Here is a 19,221-nt window from a genome sequence, read left to right on the forward strand (position 1 = left end):
CTGCTTGAGTCAGGGCTCTGCAGCCTCCTACCCACCTGGGCCTCAGCTCCTCAGGTGTAAAGCTGGCTGGTCCCAGCCCACTTACCTTGCAGAGGGGACTCAGGGAGGCCCTCCTGCAGAGCCTGGCATAGGCCAGCACATGGAGGGTCTGTAGTAAACAGGGCCTCTCCCTCAGAAGTCATGTGGGATTTTAGGACCATTACAGTAAACTGTAATCTCGGTTTAGTGATAGCTGGTGCTCAAAGCGTGCACCTGAGCCTCATGTTGGTTTTCTGCTGTCAGTCACTTAAAACTTACACCATGGTTTTTTCCTCTTGTGAACTCCAGTATTTAAGGAGATTGGAAGCTCTGAATCTCTGGGTTTGCCTGGAAGAAGTATGTACTTTGCTTTGCCAGACCTGAGATGCTTTACAAATCATCTCGTCTGCCCAGTTCAGTGGAGTGAGATTAGAATAGGTCTAACATCCTTTGAAAACATAGGCCCATGGTGAGGTTTGCAGGTAACTGAGATCACAGCTGGCTCTGAAGAAAAAATGCAGCCTCTTGGGAGTGGCCAGTCCAGGTACCTATAATTGAGGAAGTGACCTGATTGGGGAGGTGACTTATTTACCCTGGGCAATTAAGAAGCATTTATTGAACACCTACTATGTGCCCTAGGCTCTGTGCTGTGGGGATGACAAGATGCATAAGGCTCAACTTCTCCTCCTAAAGTATTTACAGTGGGCTTGGGAAAGCAAGGCTTATGTGTGTAAAAAAAAAAAAAAAATTAAGTAACAGGAGATTTTCGCAACAGTTCAGCTCAATCATAGAAGAAAAACCACAAGGTAGTTCATGACTAATGTCCATCTGCCTGAAGGAGGCAGCGGTGGGTGTGGGGAGTGTTTTCTGTGGGCTAGGGAGGGCCTGGAAAGCTTCCTGGAGGAGGGAGCAGAGGTGGCGGCAGCAGCAGCATTTGATCTGGATCCTGATGGGTAGTTGCAGTGCAGATGGATAAGTTGGGAGTAAGAAGAGAGCATCTCTAGTGGGTGTTGAGGCCAAGAGAAATGGGGAATTGCCTGCTTTGAAGGTGGGCAGCGGGAAATGAGGCTAGGCAGGTGAGTTTAGGACAGATGCAAAGAGGCTTTAATGAGAGAGAGATTGAGTTGGAGTGTGTTTAACTTCAGAACAGGGATGGGAGGATGAAGGCCCAGGGTCTCACAGGGAACTCTTGTAAATCTCAGGAAGATAGGCAAGAAAGGGTCTAGCTCCAGGACATTTCAGTCTAGGCATCTCTAGCCTCCAGCCTCCTGGAGCCATTCTTTCACCATTGCTCTATGGGGACATTTTCTTCTTAGGCATTTTACATGTCTGCTCATTCATTCATTCAGCAGGTATTTATGAGCTCTTACTCTGTGGCAGGCACTGCTCTCAGTGCTGGGTTGCAGCAGGGAAAAAAACAAAACAAGATAACATCCCTTGCCACATTCCCAGAAGGGGAGAGGGACAATAAACAAGTGAGCTAAATGCGTGGGAGGCCAGGTGATGAGAGGTATGGTGGAGAAAATCAAAGCAGGGAAGGAGATGGTGTGTGCTGCATGGAGAGGGGAGCAGCTCGGGGAGGGCTGTAATTTTAAACAGAGTGGTTAGAGAAGGTTTCACTGACTCACCCTGTCACTGGGACTTTGGGAGCACAGGGAAGGAGGCAAGGCCAGATCCTACTGGGATCTTGAGCCCACAGTTGATCCTCTTCGACCTGTTGGGGGTCTTTGACTAGGCAGTAGGGAGTCTTTGAGTGCTCTTGAGCAGAGGAGTGACATGTGTGGGGAGATCTCCCTAGTGGCTTTGTAGGGGATAGGATATTGGCGGCTGAGACAGGGGAGCAGAGATTCAGGAGGAGATGACCACTGTAGACTAAAAAAGTCTACTCATTTGACACTTTCCTCACTGTGCTGCAAGCTCCACATCTGTAAATGGAGATAAAATGGTACTTACCATTTCAGGCACGTTTTCAAGAGGATGAAGTGGGTTACTGAATGTAGAATACTTAGACTAGCACCTGACATATAATAAGTGCCTAAAAATATTGTCTTGCTCTACTATCTGTCCCTCTGTCTGCATATACGTATGTGTGTGTAAAATTAATGTGTTAGGGACATCCTTTCTTGTCCTGAAGCCAAGTCAAATGAAGAAAATAATGGCGCTTTTCAGGATTAAATGAGATCATCCATGTTGTGGGTGTAGGTTAGTGGCAGATGAAAACCAGGTGAATACTAGTTAAAAGTACTACTGTTACCACCAGATCTTACCTTGAAGAAAATGATTTTGCAATGGAAATCCTTTGTAAAGTCTTCCTATTTAACAGTTGTTTATCAAGACTGCAACATGCCAGGTGCTGCACTAGACACATCCCATTTCATCTTTGCAATAACTGCCCAAGATAATAAGTGTTAACCACATCTTACAGATGAGGAAGCAGAAGCCCTGGACTAAGACTTGACAAGGTCACATAGCTGGTAAATGGCAGAGCTGGGATTAATCCATGAGTGTTCCATTGTGTAAATGTAAACATTGACATATAGGTTCTCATATCAGTCTCCCTTGGTATTAGGTACCCACAAAGAGGTGCAGGGAGAGCAGAGGCATGGCCAATTTCCAGGACAGATCGGGGCAGTGTGAATGTAGTGGGGAAAGCATGGGTGGGAGACACTGTGGGTGAAACAGTACCTTTCTTCAATGACTCAGCCCTGCAGGCTTTATCAGAGCCTTTCAGCCACCCTCTCAGAGTCTATCTGAAACCCATTTTGGTTTCCCAAAAGGAGCAGAGCCTGACAAGTTCAAATCCTGGCTCCAGCACTTACCAGCCATGTAAGTCCAAGATAGAAGTCAATTTCTTTGTGCCTCAGTTTTGTCATCTGCAAACTTGCTTCATAGGGTTGTTATGAGAATATCAGAGAAGCTATGTCAACACTTAGAACAGTGCCTGGCCCATAGCAAGCACTCTGAAAGAGTTATTATTATGTTAACAATTCTTATATTATTTTTATATTATAGTATTATTGTAAGTGCCTTCTTAATCTCTGAGGTCAGGGTAGAATGTCCATCCTCTCTGCAGGATCATTCTGTAACACATTCTGTTTTGCCTTATTATATAGATGTGGGTGTAGGTCTCCCCTTTACAAGACCATGAATAGAATTCAATCAGCATCTTTCTAAAATCCCTGAAGACTTGTGCCTTGTCCTAGAAGCTGTCAATAGAGACTTGGGCCAAAAGAAGTGATTCTTGGTTTTCTTTTACCCTTCAAGCCACATATTCTGACCTGAAGACCCCACCTCTCAGGATTTGGAAAATGTCTGATATTTCCAAAGGTGCTTTACAGTTTGCCAAACACATTCCCATTCATATTTCATTTGGTCTTCACAGTTACCCTGTGCGGTTACTGGGTACTGTCCCCATTGAACAGGTCAGGAGACTGAGGCTCTGCAGGGTTGAATAACTTGCTCCAAAACGTGCAAGTGGAAGGTAATGAAACACGCACCCCCCTTCCTATCCCAGAAAGCTTTGTTCTGGAGTTTCAGATTGACTCTTCCCCTAAAGCCATTCATCATTTCCCCCTTAGCCCTTTTCCTAAAGAGGACTGGGAGGAGGTCATGTGGTGACCAGCCGACCTTTATACAATTCTACTCTGTTTCTTCTTCTTCTTCTTTTTTTTTTTTTTTTTTTGGTGGTCCTCAATTACGTGGACAGTTTTTCATTTGTTTTTCTCTTAATTTTATGATTCATTTATTTATATGAGACAGGGTCTCACTCTGTCACCCAGGCTGGAGAGCAGTGGTGGGATCATAGCTCACTGCAGCCTCAACCTCCTGGGCCCAGATGATCCTCCCAGTTCTGCCTCTGGAGTAGCTGGGACTTCAGGTGCACGCCACCATGCCTGGCTAATTTTTTCTTTTGTTTTTAGTTGAGACAGGGTCTCCCTGTGTTGCCCAGGCTGGTCTCAAACTCCTGGACTCTAAGTTATCCTTCCATCTTGGCCTCCCAAAGTGCTGGGATTACAGGCGTGAGCCACTGCGCCCAGGCTATACAATTCTACTTTCACCCTTTGTTCCCAGGTCTTGTTACTCCCGAACTAAGCACATGGTGATGGCTTTGAGCAGAGCTGATTATTGGAGTTGCTCAAATCATCCCCACTCCATTGTCCCTTCTCTGTGGATCTGAGGTCTGGGCTGGGACTCAGCATTTGGAACTTGGTGGGGAGTGGGAGACAATGGGGGAGAGCATTGTAGCTTGAAGCATTTGCAGTGCCTGAGTATGAAATTGTCCTGAGCATAAATGTGCCATGAGGGACCCTGCAACTGAAGGTGGAGGAGGCAAGAGGAGGAGCAGGTGCTGAGGTGTAGAGCCCAGAATCACTGCCTGGAGCCTGGCCAGGGGCCTGCAGGGGGCTGAATCAGAGGCCACAGGGCAGAGGGATGGGATGGGGAGTACTTACTCCCTGGGAGGCAAACAGGCAAATGATCCTTCTAGCCAAGGTGGGACTAAACCCAGGGCTCAAAGTCAGCCCTTAATTCAGACTTGTTAAACTCCTTGGAGTTGTTCCTTAAGCAGAAGAATCTCCTGTTTAGTTCAGCCCAACAAAAGTTTATTGAGGAAGTACCTACAGTGTCCCAGCAGGCATGAGGAATACAAAGTCCAGCAAGACAGGGACCCTGCCACAAGGGGCTCAGGTCCTACAACCTCGGCTTTACCTGTGCCTCTTCCTCCCTCCTGCCAACTTTGAATACTTGGGTGGAGGCTCTGAGGGTGGTGCTTCTTAAGTGCACATGGCAGCATTTTAGCTTCCTGGCACCCCAGCACTTGGGCTAGAATTAAGGCCTGGCAGGTCTGCAGAGCAGCACAGACTGGGAATTGGCAAACACACCTGCTTATGGAGGTGGACCCTGATACTGCTGTGGGAAGAGAGAGGTTTCTGGGCTTTGGCACCTGGAACTGCTTCTCAGCTCCCTCTGTGATGGTCGCATGACTGGAGGAGCAGAGGCCGGAGGGCCTCTGGGTTGCAGGTGAGAAAGATCCCAGTAGGGCCGGGCGCGGTGGCTCACGCCTGTAATCCCAGCACTTTGGGAGGCCGAGGCGGGTGGATCATGAGGTCAGGAGATCGAGACCATTCTGGCTAACAAGGTGAAACCCCGTCTCTACTAAAAATACAAAAAATTAGCCGGGCGCGGTGGCGGGCGCCTGTAGTCCCAGCTACTCGGGAGGCTGAGGCAGGAGAATGGCGTGAACCCGGGAGGCGGAGCTTGCAGTGAGCCGAGATTGCGCCACTGCAGTCCACAGTCCGGCCTGGGCGACAGAGCGAGACTCCGTCTCAAAAAAAAAAAAAAAAAAAAAAAAAGATCCCAGTAGAATTGCCCCAAGGTAATGGCTCAGGCTGCCCATCCCTCAGTCAGACCAGCTCCCCCTTCTCATCCTCCAAGCTGGCTGGTCTCCTCTCCTCTGCACCTGGGCCATCCCTGGCCCCAATTCTTTGCTTTGGTTCTTCAGCACTTTCCTTCTTCTCTGCCTTTTCAACACCCTCATCCCCCAAGTCTGGATTCAGCCCTGCTGTCTTCAGAAAGGCTTCCTAAACCCTCTCAGACCCAGTTTCCCCTCCTTTCTCCATATGCTTGCTGGGCAGAGAATCAACAGCCCCCAGTTCAGCATTTACCTGTTTCCTGGGAGTTCTTTCTCACCCTCTCTGCTTCCTGAAGGGAAGGCAGGCAACATGTTTTGTGCACCCACCATGTTCCAGGCAGTTGCATGGAGGCTGGGTATGTCCTAGCTCTGTTTTTTATGAGCTGTGTGACTTTGGGTAAGTGTTTTCATTTCTCTGAGTCTCATTTTCTCATTTGAGATTGAGGATGCGAAGCCTACTCAGAGGGAAGTTGTAAGAACTGGATGGAATAATCCATGCAAAGCACTTTGCACACAGGTCCAGGCTCATAGTAAATGGCTAACATATGGCAGCCTTTGTTATTCTTTGATAGGTATTATCTCATTGAATCCTCACCCTAGCTTTATAAGGTAGACGTCATTCCACAAAGGGGAGCAAATGAGCCTTAGGGCTGAAATGACTTGCTTGAGGTCGCACAACAGACAGGCAGCAAGGCAGGGATCCAAGCCTAGGGGTGGGCTGCTCTGAGGCAACACCCATCCTCCTACCACCTCTGCTTCCTGAGTCCTGGCCCCTGTTTCCCATGCTTTTTAATGTTCCTCGCAGTCCCAGCCAGGGCACTCAGCAAATGCTGGTTGAATAATCTTTCCTGGCTGGTTTAAGGGAAACCAGGTTTGCAGCAGGAGTGCAGGAAATGCGACCCCTTGAACATTCCACTCTCTTTCAGATTTCTATCTGGTCCAAGTTGCCCATGGATCCCTGCTAGTGTACTGCATGCCACTCCAACACCAGGCAGTGCTATGCTGTGTGGCACCATATCTCACCCAGGAGTGAAACCAAATCATGCCCTCAGGGAAAATGAGCCGGTTCCTTTTTATTTTTTAAATAGCAGAGAATAAAGTTATGAAAAGAAAAAGAAAAGTAAGGGAAATACCTGCCTGGATAATCCCCCATGACTGGGGCAACCACTCTCTGAAGCTGGCAGCTGGAAAACAAAGAGAATAGCCATTAGCTGCCAGCTGGGCGCTGGGCGGTGTGGCATTATGAAGCCTGTGTCCTGTGAGGGTCAGCAGGCAAGGCTTCCTGCTTGGGATGGCTTCTTGATCTTCCCTATTCCCACAGATAGAGCCAAGTCTCTGCCAAGAGCTTTTCTTCTTGACATGATTGTAGTCAGGAAGATTTTCATGTCATTCCAGATCACAGTTCCCAGTTTAATTCTCTAGCAAATGCTAGAAGCTACCACTTCCATCTTGGCTGTGTGTTCTTTTGTACCAACTGATGCTTGTATCTTTACTCCTTACTCCACTGGTTATTTAGTTTATGCCCATGCAGACTTCGGTGCTGGGTTCCCTGGGGCTTGTGGAAGAAGGCGCTTGCCTGTGCTCATTTGTGTGTTCATCTCATGGCCCATGCTGCAGGAGAGGTGGGTGGTTGTCAGCATATTTTGGTTCTTAGTTTTTGCTACCAGGCCATGGATTTTTTTTCTGTTGCTTTGTATTTTGTATTATTTATTTTATTTTTGAGAGTCTTGCTCTGTCACCCAGGCTGGAGTGCAGTGGCACCATCTCGGCTCACTGCAGCTTCTGTCTCCTGGGTTCAAGCGGTTCTTGTGCCTCAGACTCCCAAGTAGCTGGGATTACAGGCGTGCGCCACCACACCTGGCTAATTTTTGTATTTTTAGTAGAGATGGGGTTTCACCATGTTGGTCAGGCTGGTCTTGAACTCCTGACCTCAAGCGATCTGCCTGCCTCGGGCTCCCAAAGTGCTGGGATTACAGGTGTGAGCCACTGTGCCCGGCCATTTTTTCCATTTAAAACCCTTTAAAAACACACCTGAAGGTGCAGCTTCCTTTCCTGAAGGGAATTAAAACCATGCTATTAGTAGGCATGGGATACGGGAGTAGATCATCTTTGGGTGCTGGTCCAGAAAGTAGTGAGTAAGTGAGACAAGCAACGATAATATTGTTTAGCACAATGCTTTGTGACAGGGACTATAGTCGTCCCTATTAAGTCAGAATCTCTTGGGACAGGTGACTGAGAAAAAAAAAAAAAGTAAAACAAAAAACACGCAAAGGAGATGATGTTTTACAGCCTGTTGGCTGGTTGTCAGGCGTAGGCAAATCTTGCCCTCAAGAGCAGGAAACCCACTGATACATGCCATCCAGTAAAATCACACTAGAGCTCTTTGAGATTGAAATAACTAAGGTCTTGAAAAGGAAACTTGCCCAAGGATGCACCTGAGCTGTCAAGATACTGCCTCTCCTGTCTGTGTCTCAGGGCTGCGCTTTCCTCTGAGTAGTTATGAATAAAGGAGCAGCAGGACATTGCCATCACCTCTGAGGGATCTGAGCACAGATGTGAGTGACAGTAGAAATGGGCTGTGTGAGGAAAAGACCCCAGGCTCCACTGAAATCAGAGTGTACTGAGGAGGTGGTGTGCATGGGGTGGAACAGGCATGAGGCACTAGTGGCATGACCTTGGCGAGTTAGTTATTGACCTTCATGAGCCTCAGTTTCTTCACCTGGAAAATGGGTTGGATGATCATCCAGTTCCCAGTGTTTCATTGAAGGTTAGACAAGATCATACAATTCAATGAGTGTGACCACCAGTGCATGGCACATTTAAGTACTCAAACAAGGCAAGTTTTCTTCCCTTATCCATGCTCCCCACTTTCTCCCTTACTTCCTCCTTTAAAAAGAGTTGTTTTAAATAGCTATCTGGATTTTTTTTCTGCACCACTTCAAAGTCAATGAAAATCAGCTTTAGCTTCCTTCTTTCTCTTCTTCCCCTCTCATAATGGGCATGGCTCCGGGGCTGGGTCTGAGGCTCCGTTCTCAACCAGGAAGCACAGGGCTGGGCTGCTCGCTGTTGGTTTCGGTAACTTCTTCTCCCAGGAAGGGCCCTGCTCCAGGGGCTTGCAGTGGCCTCCCCTCACTTCAGTCTGTAGATACCTTGCTGTACATATTTGCTCTCCCTTGGCTTCCTGGGTCTCACTGGGTGTGCAGCTGGCTTTTCTTCCTGGGTGGGATTTGGTGATGATAAAGCAGGCACTTGTTGAGGGCTGTTATTACTTGGGAGTTTTTTGGTTTCAAGGCACAGAAACCAAACTTGAATGAGCTTAAGCAAAAATGGGATGCATAGCTTATGCCTCTCATACCAACACTTTGGGAGGCTGAGGCTGGAGGAGCGTTCAAGGCCAGCAGTTCAAGATCAGCATAGTCAATATAGCAAGAGCTTGTCTCTACAAAAAAAAAATTAAATTAAAAAGGATACATTGGAAGGTTTCGAGGAGGCTCAAAGATTCAAAAGAGGTGCAGAAGAATCAAGCCCCAGGAAGACAGCATGTGACCTCCAGCATCTCTAGACCAGAGTCCCCTGTTCAGTGCACTATGGCTGCAGGCAGCTCCCAGCTGACCCCACACAGCCCTGCCGCCAACCTAAGAGGACCAGGCCTTCCCCAGGAGTTTTCAGATTGGAATTTGGCCTGGCCTGGAGCATGTGCACACCCCATGTACCACTGCTAAGGAGAAAAGATACTCCCATGAGCCCACCTTGAGTCCTATACCCTCCTTTTTGGCTGGAGAGTGGGAGATGGGGTGGAGTCTGTTATCAGGAGAGAGACACAGAGAGAAGAATACTAGTAATATTAATAATTAAGTATAATGCTCACTTTTCTTGAGCTACTTTATGCAAGACACATTCTAAGCTCTTTACCTGCATAACTCATTTAATCTTCACAGTCAACCCATTTTACATACCAGGAAACTGAGGTAGAGAGAGGTTAAGCAATTTGCCCAAAGTCACATAGCTAGTTAGGAGGAGAGCTGGAAGTGAACCCAAGCAGAGGGCTCCAGAAGTGCCGTTACCCACCCACTCTGATGCAGACAATAACAGACATCACCTCCAAGCACCTGCTCTGAGCAAGCAATGGGCTAAGTCCTTTATAGGATTATCTCATTTAATCTTCAGAGAAGCCCTATGAAGTGGGTGCTAACATCATCCACATTTTAAAAAAAGAAATTGAGGCTCACAGAGATGATGTGATTTGCCTAGGGCCACCCAACTAATTTAAAGTGACAGAGCTGGGATAGGACCCTTGGTTTGACTGATCATAGGGCCCAAGTTCTTAACTGCCTCACTGGGTAGCCTGCACATTTAGACACTTCTCTTGCTCTGTCTGCAGCTCCCCTGGTTTGGCTCAGCACCTGAGTCTTTGTCCACAGTCTGGGGAGGGGCTGGGATGTGGAGACCCCTACCTGCTGCATGCTGCTGAGGGGTCGGCTGTGAGGTTTGAGCTGGTCTCGATCTATCTCACACCGACCTACACCAGATGGTTCTTGAACAAGTCTTTAGTGCATTGAAACTCTGAGTTTATTCATTTCTTCATTCAACAAATATTTACTGAGGGCCTGGAGGCTCCAGGCCCTGTCCAAGTGCTGGGGTCCCTCAGGGAAGAGCTTAGACTCTGAAAACATCCAAGAGGAAGGCTCCCGGAGTTCCTGTCACTTGGGCCTGTCATGTCCCACTCAATCTCACAGGAAACCTTCCCTGTATCACCCAAATCAGGCCCATGAGGGACCAGAGACCTCGTGCTTCTTTGCTTGGCACTGGCCTGATGGCAAGTCCAAGGAGAGACAGCATTTCTTCATTCTGGTTGATTACAAAGGAAAATATAGTGTCAGGGAGTGAGCATGGGCGTGGACTCAGGCCAGCTCCATCGGGAGTCCCAGAGCTGCTGTGGTCTCTGCTAATCGAGACTTTGGGTGAAGCACTTCGCTGTGCCATGCCTCAGTTTCCCCCTCTGTAATGATACCGTACTACCTGTCTTACAGGGTTGCTGGGAGGATTAGCTGAGGTAGCAGTGTTAACTACCCAAGGCAATACCTGTACACAGGTTAATCCCTCCCTCTTATAACAACTAAGTAGTTTTGTCGGTGTCTCTAAAAGTCAGGGTACCTGGAGGGGGGCAGCTGAATGGGGTCCTAGGTGAGGAAATCACCAATTGTATCAAGCTCCTCATTTTATGGATGAGGGAACAGAGGCCCTGACCCTCAAAGGCCAGAAGGTATTGGGCTCTAGGACCTTCTAATTTGTTGGTGTTACAGGGAGCTCAAGTGTATTTGGCTTGTTGGTCAGACAAAGGGTACGAGTTGGTCCTTTGAGTGGCTGGACACAGTGTGCCCAGGCCTCTGTGAGCATCTGACCAGTGGTCAGCCCTTGTAGCCTGGTCCAGTCATACCTGCCTCCAACCCACCATGAAGACAGCCTAAGCTGAACCTTAAAGAGCCCCGTGTCCCTGCTGCTGGTCTCCGTAATGCCCTAGGGTGGGTAGGGACTTCTGTTCCTGAGATCTAGAGAGCATGGCGGGGTCCCTGGCTTCTGAAACTCTGGTTGGACCAATGATGGAATTCTGTACCAGGATGTCCAGCTCCCCACCCACAGATCCCAGAAGCTTCCCTTGAGAAGCAGGGGGCAGACAAGTCAAGGCCTCTAGCCGCTTTGACTTCTGGCTGGAAGCAGCAGCACCGAGCCTGCAGCACAGGCTGATAGAATGTGGCCCAGGCAGGCCAGCCTGTTTGTCAGCTGGCACAAGCCCCGAGGGGTGTGGGCTTGGTAATGATGATGACGGGCGGGCAGGGCTGCCGCTTCTGCCCAGGTGGCCGCCCTTGGAGCTCGCCAGGCTCGCCCGGTGTGTGGGCCCACCAGGACTAAATCAGAGTTGATGTCCAGTACACCTTTCCCTCAGCTTGGTGGGAAAGACCATGAGCACAGGGGCAGCCAGTCCTGGGCTCCAATCCTGCCTTGCTGTAGGGGCTTGGCAAGTGCCATCTGTTCTGTAAGCCTCTGTTTGCTGTCTGTGAGGAGCCACTGAGATCAAGCAGGTCTAGTCTCCACCCATGACAGTACACAGCACTTCATAGGCTGTCTCCCATTAACGGGCTGAGAATTCTGAACAGTGAGTCCCATCTCCCAGCACTCTAACAATGTGTGCTCTTTGTGTGCTAGAGAGAGAGAGTGTGTGTGTGTGTGAGTGTGTGTGTGGGGGGCACCACTCTGTTGAACAAAGTGTGCGTATACCTCCCTGGAGTATGAATATTGCCTCTTATAGATGTCAAATTTCACACCTGTGTTAGTTTTTGTCCCTTTGAGGTTACCTCTTAAATATTTTGATTTATTTTTTAATGTGGAAGTAAATCATTAGAAATATTTTGTAACTCTGGGCTTCGTTTTCCAAACAGGTGTAGAGGCATTTTCTGCAGAAGCAATAGGATGTCATGAAATAATGTGGGTCGTCACTGGAAGCCAAGAGAAAAATTAGTTTAGGAAACTCAGCCATGATCAGCTGGTGCACTTTCATAACTCCCTAGTTTACTCAGTGTTAGAAAATGGGACCCGTTTCACACTGGGGACTTGTTATCCAGTTTTACACCTGCTTGATTTACTTTCATTGTGTCTCACACTTAAAAATTCTGACACTTTCTGTTTTTACTAAAGCAGCGAATAAAGCATTGTTTTCCGGATCCCTCCTACTCCTCAGCAAAGTCTTTGTGTAGAGATCTGATAAGCCCTTAGGGTGCCCTGACTGCAGCCAACAATAGAATTTGTTTAGCCATCTTGCTATTCCTTTCTTCACGTGCAAAACTTGTTGGAGGCCAGGGAGAGATTCTCTGTCCATTTCCTCTTGCTGGGTGAAGTGTCCCACAAGGCAGAGTGCACAAGCATGCGTGACCTCTTGGAGGAGACTAGAAAGGAGGCATAAGCTACGATGATGTCACTGACATTAATTGTTGGGCTCTTGTTTTTAAAGGAACATGGCAACCCGTGTGTGTCTCATCCCAGAAAGAGAAGACTTTAACCACTGTGATGCCTGAGAATCCAGTGAGTAAGTCACAGTGGTGGATCTTGTTTACCGTGGAGTAGCTCCTGGGGGCTGGTCCTAGGCTTAGGAAAGTGTGGGATGTTCCCACCATCCTGGGGCAGCTTGCTGTGCCCAGGGCGCGCTGTTCCCTCTGAGTCAGCACCACCTCCTCTGCACTCCCCTAGCGCTGTGTTCTTGCCTCAGATACACCACTGAGTTAGGGTTTGTTCACCTGCTTGTCCCACCTACCGGCTGTGGGAGCCTCAAGGGCAAGGAACCAGACTCCCGCCTTCCTGTCTGAGCCAGGCAGCAATTCCCGGCAGGCACAGTACAAGGCACATCACAGGTGACCAACAGCTGTTTGTGGACTCAAGGAGTCTCATCCCTGAGGTTTGATCAGGGCTTTTATGGTCCACAAAGCTTCATCACAAACAGTGTCCTATGGGAACCTTTGTGCCCTGGGTGGGGTGGTCACATTATCCTTGTTTATTTTATAGACATGGAGGCTGGGGTCTGAGGAGTCAGATAGCCTGCCACAGGTGGTGGTAGGCTAATAAGTGCCCAGGACTCACGTTTTCTGTGTCCCAGGCTAGCCTGGTTTCTGTAACCTTATAATTAGAAAGGTTGTTTAGAGTAAACCCCTCATTGCCAAACAGGGAGACTGAGGCCTGGCCTGAAGATTCTTTCTCAAGGTGACAGGGCTCACTGGTGTCCAATGGAGAATGGAAACGCAGGCCCTGGACTTCCTGTCTGGCGTTTTGGCACCCCTCCTCCCTCCTCCTCTGCCCTGCTCCTGTATTCAGCAATCAGAGAACATTTTGGGACCATATATCTGTGTTTACAGGAGGGTGAAGAACTTACAGAAAGCCATGAGTCAGAGGGAACATAGGGATGAATAAAACCCTCCCTTCTCTCCGGGAGCTTTCCTGGACATGTGAGCCTTGGCAGGGCGTTGAAGAGGCTCAGTTTAGTTGTGGGAGGAGGGAGGATGAAGGTGAGGGTGAGGGGAGAGCATCAGGGCCCAATCCAAGATGCTGGGGCATGGGCGGAGGCTCCGGCGGAGGGGCAGCCGGCGTGCATGTCAGGGCATTTGGCAGCTGGCCTGGTGGGCGCTGAGGGATCACGTGGGGTGAGGAGTCCACGGGAGTCCTGAATGGCAGGATGACAAGGGGTTGACTGGACCTCAGGGAAAGCTGCTCCAGGAATTCTCATTCTTAGTATCTGGGGAAAGACCCAGGCAAAGAGCTGATTGGCCAGTCTGCCACAGCCTGAGAAACTGTCCCCTCTCTGGAGAAACAGAATACAGAGTTTGTCCACAGAGGAGGGTCAGGCAATGAACAGTGAATTCCAATGTTGTCTGAAATGTGTAGGGAGGGGAGTGTGAGCAATTCTGGCTGGCTCAATCCTATTGCCCTCAAATGAATTTTTGTTTTGTTCTGTTTCTGTTGAACACACGTGCTGTTCTTCTCTCTTCCCTTTGGAATCTTGGGTCCCTCCTGGCTCATCCATTCAATCCAGGCTTGACCCAGGGCCAGGTGGGTCCTGGCTACTCTTCTGTGTTTATTCTACCTTTTCTTGCAACTTCCTGGACTTGAGGACTGGGACTGACTGCCAGTTTCATCTCCATTGGCAGGGTGAAACATAAAATTTCCCCAAATTACAGAGAATGTGATGCTTGCCAAATAGGTACCTTGGATTATTTTCCAAAGCATTCCCAAATTATATACTTCTCTAGGGCAGGGGAAGTGTATCATGTTGTATCATTATTATTTACACTTCATATTTCTTTGCACTTTATGTTTTATAAAGGTCATTTCATCTTCATGATCAAGCAGGTGGACTTCTCCCATTTTACAGATGAGAAATTTGCCTTAGGCAGGCGGTAGCCTGCCCAAGGCAATGCAGCTGTCTAAGGGCTGAGCTGGGACATGGCCCAGTCCTACTGTTTATAAATTCCATGTCTCTCCTCTGCTAAACTCCAACCATAGTAAATCTCTGGAGGGCCTGAGACCTAAGAGGAGCTCAATAAACACTTGTGGAATGAGTGAACTTTGGCTCTTTTTTTTTTTTTTTTTGGCCACTCTCAACCATAAGTGGACCCTCTTTGGCAGCAAAGAGAACACTACCCTGTGGAATATTTGAGTTTCTTGCCATGATAAGGAACTGGTGAGCTCTCTTCTCACCCAGCCATACCTCTGGGAACTAGGTCATGCACACTGAATAATTAATTCCTTGACTTTTACTCGGAGCTTCCTCCTCCTGACATTGAGATGCTACGTTAGACATTGATCTATGAGAGGTCCTTGGGAGAAGCAGATCCTACTGTTTGTTGTCACAGACCTTCAGTGACCCATCTAATTGCCCATGAATAATACCTGTGGCCTAAACAGGTCAGCCTTCCAGGCAGTTCACTCATCTCCTCCTTCTACCCTTCCCCCACCAACCTTCTCTAGACTGAGGAAGAAGGACAGGTGTGTATTATCTTAGATATGCAGGGTTCTGTACAGTTAGGGGAGCCTACCTCTTCCTTCTCACTGACCTCTGAACTTTTCCATATGTTGTGGCAAGGGCTGGAGAAACAACAAGAAAACCATGTCAAGATGGGAAAGAATTCATGGGCTCCGGGAGGCAGTTATCAAAATATCCGCTGGGTCTGCTCTTTCCCTAAGTGATACTTGGGTCATCTTTCTTCGAGTCTGCAAGGGATCCAGCTGGCCTTGTTAGACTCTTGAGGTCAACAGAATAGAGTAGAAATAAGAGTGGGCTGAGACCAAGAGAGCCATGTTCTAGTGTTGACTGTCCACAGCTTAGCTATGTGGCCTTGGGCGAGTCACAGAACCTCAGGGGCCTTCAGATTTCTTATTCAGGAATTCAGGGAGGGGTGGAGGTTTGGTGGTATCTTAAAGAAGTCTCCTTGACTTCTGTGGTCCTGGTCCTCAGTGTCTCTCTCAGTTTGTCCTTGTGATTAGCACTGTCTTCTCCTCCAGGTCACCTCCTCCTCATGTGGTCAGAGCTTGCTTCTGTAAGCACTTTCATCCTGATCTTTGTAGCTTTGCCATCTCTCCCCTGCGCCACCCTGAGTTATGCCAGAGTGCAGATAAGAACTTCCTGTTGTTGCCCTACTCTTCTGCCAAGCAGCATGGGAGAAAACTCTAACCTTGTGAGACTCTTAGAGATCTAAGGAGTGAAAGTTGGTTGGTATCAGAGGAAAATGGGATTAAAGGTTGTTGGGATTTTCAAGTCCTTGATGCCCCAGGGTACCTGGATTGTACTGAATTTTTGATCAGAGGGTAGTCAATATGTTCTTAAGAATATGGCCCCAAGTTGGCCAACCCTTGTGATCAGGGGTGACCAGACACTTTGGAGAAATAAAGGGAATAGCATTGGTAGAAGGTTGCTCAGTGAGAGATGAGAGATACCTCAGATGGACAACCAATATGAAAAGGGGAAAGGCTAGGGAAGGTGGATTTGTCTCTAACATTTACAATTGTAAAGTATTAAAGCTGAAAAGAACGACAGATCCTTTAATCCACTTCTCCCGTTTATTAGTAAAGAAACTGAGGCCCAGAGACATGACTCAAGCACACCCATAGCGCAAGCTGGTGGTAGAAGTGAGACAGAAGCTAAGTCTCCTGATTCCCAGCAAGTGGCTCTCTCTGCAGTTCCATGTTGCCTCCTCATGTGGGTTCAGCCACCGTGCCTTCCTCTTTTCTCCTCCACCCTGCACTTGAATGTCTAAGGTGTTAGCAGGGCCCCCACAGCTCCTACCTCATTGTTTATCAAGGCCTAATAAAACCTGGGTGCAACAGCATGGAGAGGTTGAGGCTTCTTATGTGCAGGCTGTTTTGATTTGTATTTAGTGACTTAACACTGTTGAGTTGCCGTTATTCTGTTTTATGATGTGTCTTGGGGTGAAAGATTAATTCAAGACAGGAAATGAAGGCTATAAGATGGCCCAGCCTTAGCAGGAGTAGCCTCTTGTGAGTTTGCCATTCAAATCAAAATCATATGAGCGTTGTTGCTAAGCAGGCCTTGTTGTGAGAACCTCCAGCAAAGGGCATGGATTACACTGTTGCTTGCTCTGAGAGGGGCTTTTTCAGTCAGAGACTGGCCATCCCAGCACTATGCTGATGGCACATAAACCAGAATGGAAACCACTCACTTTTTCTGTAGAACTCCATTTGGCCCAACACTTCCTGCTGAGCTCAAGGAAATGCATCTGGAGCACTTTGCATTGGGCAAGCACTAGGTTTACATATATTACCTTGTTTTTCCTCATAGCAGCTCTCTGAGAGATAGGCATGGCTACCTGTTGTACTGAGGAGAAAATTGAGACAGTTACAGGTTAAATAACTTGTCCATGCCCACAAGGGCCAGGACTCAAACGCAAGGTATCTGACTCTAAAGCCCTTCCTGGTTCCACATTTCACATGGCTCTCTGCACACAGAAGGGAGGGCTGGGGAAAAATAGGCAAGGCATTGACTGAAGCGTCAAACATTTATCATGGGACTTCCAAATGCCAGGTCCTGGGCTTGGTTCTTGGGATGCAAAAGTGAGTAAGACCTAGTCCCTTTACTCCTAGGACTTGTGGCCTAGCCTGGTGGTGGGACAGATGTATATGATGACAGTCATAGCTCCCTTATCGCTCTGGAAGCACTGAGAAGAGAGCAGCACACAGGGAAGACTGCATTACCAAGGAGGGGCTGTGAGACTTGGGTACTGAAGGATGATCAGGAGGTTGCCAGGCAGAAAAGGAGGCAGACGGTTCTCCAAGGAAACTGGGTGGAGGTGTGAAAGGGCCTGATTTGGTGTTTAGAAGTAAGGAGGAGTAGTGGGCATGCTTTTTTCTTAGCTGAGGGTGCAAGGAATGAGACATTCAGTTGAGAGATCAGCTCTGAAGTGGGAGAGGAGGGGAGTTCAGAAGTAGACTGTCAAGGGCTTTGCAAAATACTTGCTGCTAGGTGAGATTCATTGAAAGAAACATTAGCAGAGACCAGGAAAGCTTCTCCAAATATGAATTCTCCAGCTGCCTGATGGATGTTTCCATATAGAGAAAGGAACTTCTGCTGGGGGCTCATTTTCAGAGAGTTTGTGTCCGTTTTCTGCATTTTGTGTCTCACACACCAATGGAAGTGATTATTGATGGGGCAAAGTGAATGGGGTGGGACGGGCCACACCAACAGTTCATATTTAAAATGTCTCAGATTCCTCTTGCCAGATAAGCTGATAGCAAACACCCTTGTGAGTTCCTGCGCAGATTGACTCTCCAGGGATCATTTTGCATTCCAGACAGGGTCACATAATATTTCTGCAGGAGCTGGGGCTCTGGGTTGAGAAAGCTACTTAAAAATAAAGACCAACAAAAAATATAGTTGTTTTTAAGGATGACATTTGCAAGGCAAAAGTATCCAGGAAGTAGATTATTTGTCATGAGGGTGAGCCAGAATTTTTAAAAATATCAGATCATTAGAGTGGAAAGAATAATGGCGGAGAGAGAGAGGGAAAGAGAGAGAGAGAGAGCGCCAGGAACTCTTGTCTCCTGGGCGTGGTTGTTCCTGCACACCCCCACTTTAATGAATACCTTGCTGAGGTCTGCCCCAGGAAATGAGTTTCAAACATTGAACTTTGAGCCTGAATTGTCTTCTATGGAGAGGAGCAAACCAATAAACCAGAGAGTGATTTGGAGTCTAAGACTTCTTGGTCTTGTATCAACAGTCCCTATCTGCTGCCCGTGGGTTTTGTATCTTTATGAGAAAAGAAAAAAATCTTTTTTGGAACAGTTGGGGCTTATTTTAGTAAACATGTTTTTCAGAGCATGAGCCCAAATACCAAGGAAAGAGTCCAATGTCTTTATTCAGCCAAGAGAAATGTATTCATCAGGATGATGGGAGGCTGTCTCCCTCCCACCAGGGAGAAGTCACTAGCGGGGCCATACCTTCGGGGCTCCCCTCCTCTGGGGCTTCTGGATGTTGGAGTTTGGGGCTGGTGAGGGACATTTTGACCCCCTGAATGGTCAAGGCCCTTTCTGGGCCCTGGAACCTATGACCCAGCCTCTCTGAGCTTTCAGGAATGTGGCCTCTGAGTGTGGCCTGGAGAGGCAGCGTTCTTCCCCGAGACTGTCCCACAGAGGTCTGCGTTGTTCTCAATGTAGTGAATTGCTCACAACCATAAATTGCAACGGTTCTGCAGCCTCCGAGCCATTACCAAGTAGGCAAATGTTATAGGACTTTCAAACCTCAATGCTCGTGCACCTAGTTCAGGGAGGTGAAATACAACCTGTCAGACCAATAACCTCCTCCAGTCAGTTCAGCTACAACCTGTCAGACCAATAACTTCCTCCAGTTAGTTCAGCAACTGAGTATACATTAGAGACTGGTTCTACCCTGTCTTCTCAGACAGGCATTTTTGTATTTGCCATCTGTAACCTTACTTGGCTTTACAGACATCTGGGGAGAAGTTCCCGAGAGACTTCAGTTCCTCTGTATAGTAAAGGACTGGGTCAAAACTGTCCTGATCTTTCACTTCTGTTCAGATGTCTGAAATGCCTCCTGATAGCAGCATATTTTCCGTGGGCAGAGAGCTCTTCTCAGCCCACATCCTGATGAAGGAAGGAATCCTTTCTCAGAACTGTCTCACCTTGCCAGTTTCTGGTCTGTTCACTCTCCTGAGGTTGTACCTAAGAACTGTCCAGCTGGGTTCATGTAGCACATCGCTGGGCACATGGTAATCAGTGTT

At 48.0% G+C, this 19,221-nt stretch overlaps 1 protein-coding gene across 20 annotated transcripts in view, besides 3 other annotated features; it reads left to right on the forward strand.

The window, feature by feature from the left end:
• The window catches only part of MICAL2 (microtubule associated monooxygenase, calponin and LIM domain containing 2), a 251,551-nt gene that overhangs the window by 15,366 nt on the left and 216,964 nt on the right, over positions 1–19,221 (forward strand). For 7 of the 20 annotated variants that reach the window (NR_144419.2, NR_144417.2, NM_001393937.1 and 4 more), the window contains one exon: positions 12,435–12,509. The exons of 7 other annotated variants lie outside the window; for them this stretch is intronic. The gene's annotated coding sequence lies outside the window, so the exon portion shown is untranslated. Of the gene's footprint in view, positions 1–12,434; positions 12,510–19,221 lie in introns of those variants that run through there. 6 more of the 20 variants (NR_144420.2, NR_144416.2, NM_001282663.2 and 3 more) reach the window with 1 other exon arrangement.
• Positions 10,728–11,228: an enhancer, noted in NCBI's record as "H3K4me1 hESC enhancer chr11:12158230-12158730 (GRCh37/hg19 assembly coordinates)". NCBI's record gives its function as "activates a minimal SCP1, AML or CMV promoter by ChIP-STARR-seq in primed H9 embryonic stem cells {active_cell/tissue: H9 hESC(primed)}" and the evidence as "EXISTENCE:reporter gene assay evidence [ECO:0000049][PMID:30033119]".
• Positions 12,959–13,502: an enhancer, noted in NCBI's record as "H3K4me1 hESC enhancer chr11:12160461-12161004 (GRCh37/hg19 assembly coordinates)". NCBI's record gives its function as "activates a minimal SCP1, AML or CMV promoter by ChIP-STARR-seq in naive H9 embryonic stem cells {active_cell/tissue: H9 hESC(naive)}" and the evidence as "EXISTENCE:reporter gene assay evidence [ECO:0000049][PMID:30033119]".
• Positions 13,503–14,044: an enhancer, noted in NCBI's record as "H3K4me1 hESC enhancer chr11:12161005-12161546 (GRCh37/hg19 assembly coordinates)". NCBI's record gives its function as "activates a minimal SCP1, AML or CMV promoter by ChIP-STARR-seq in naive H9 embryonic stem cells {active_cell/tissue: H9 hESC(naive)}" and the evidence as "EXISTENCE:reporter gene assay evidence [ECO:0000049][PMID:30033119]".

This window comes from Homo sapiens, chromosome 11 (genome assembly GCF_000001405.40).
Source record: "Homo sapiens chromosome 11, GRCh38.p14 Primary Assembly".
Lineage (NCBI taxonomy): Eukaryota > Metazoa > Chordata > Mammalia > Primates > Hominidae > Homo > Homo sapiens.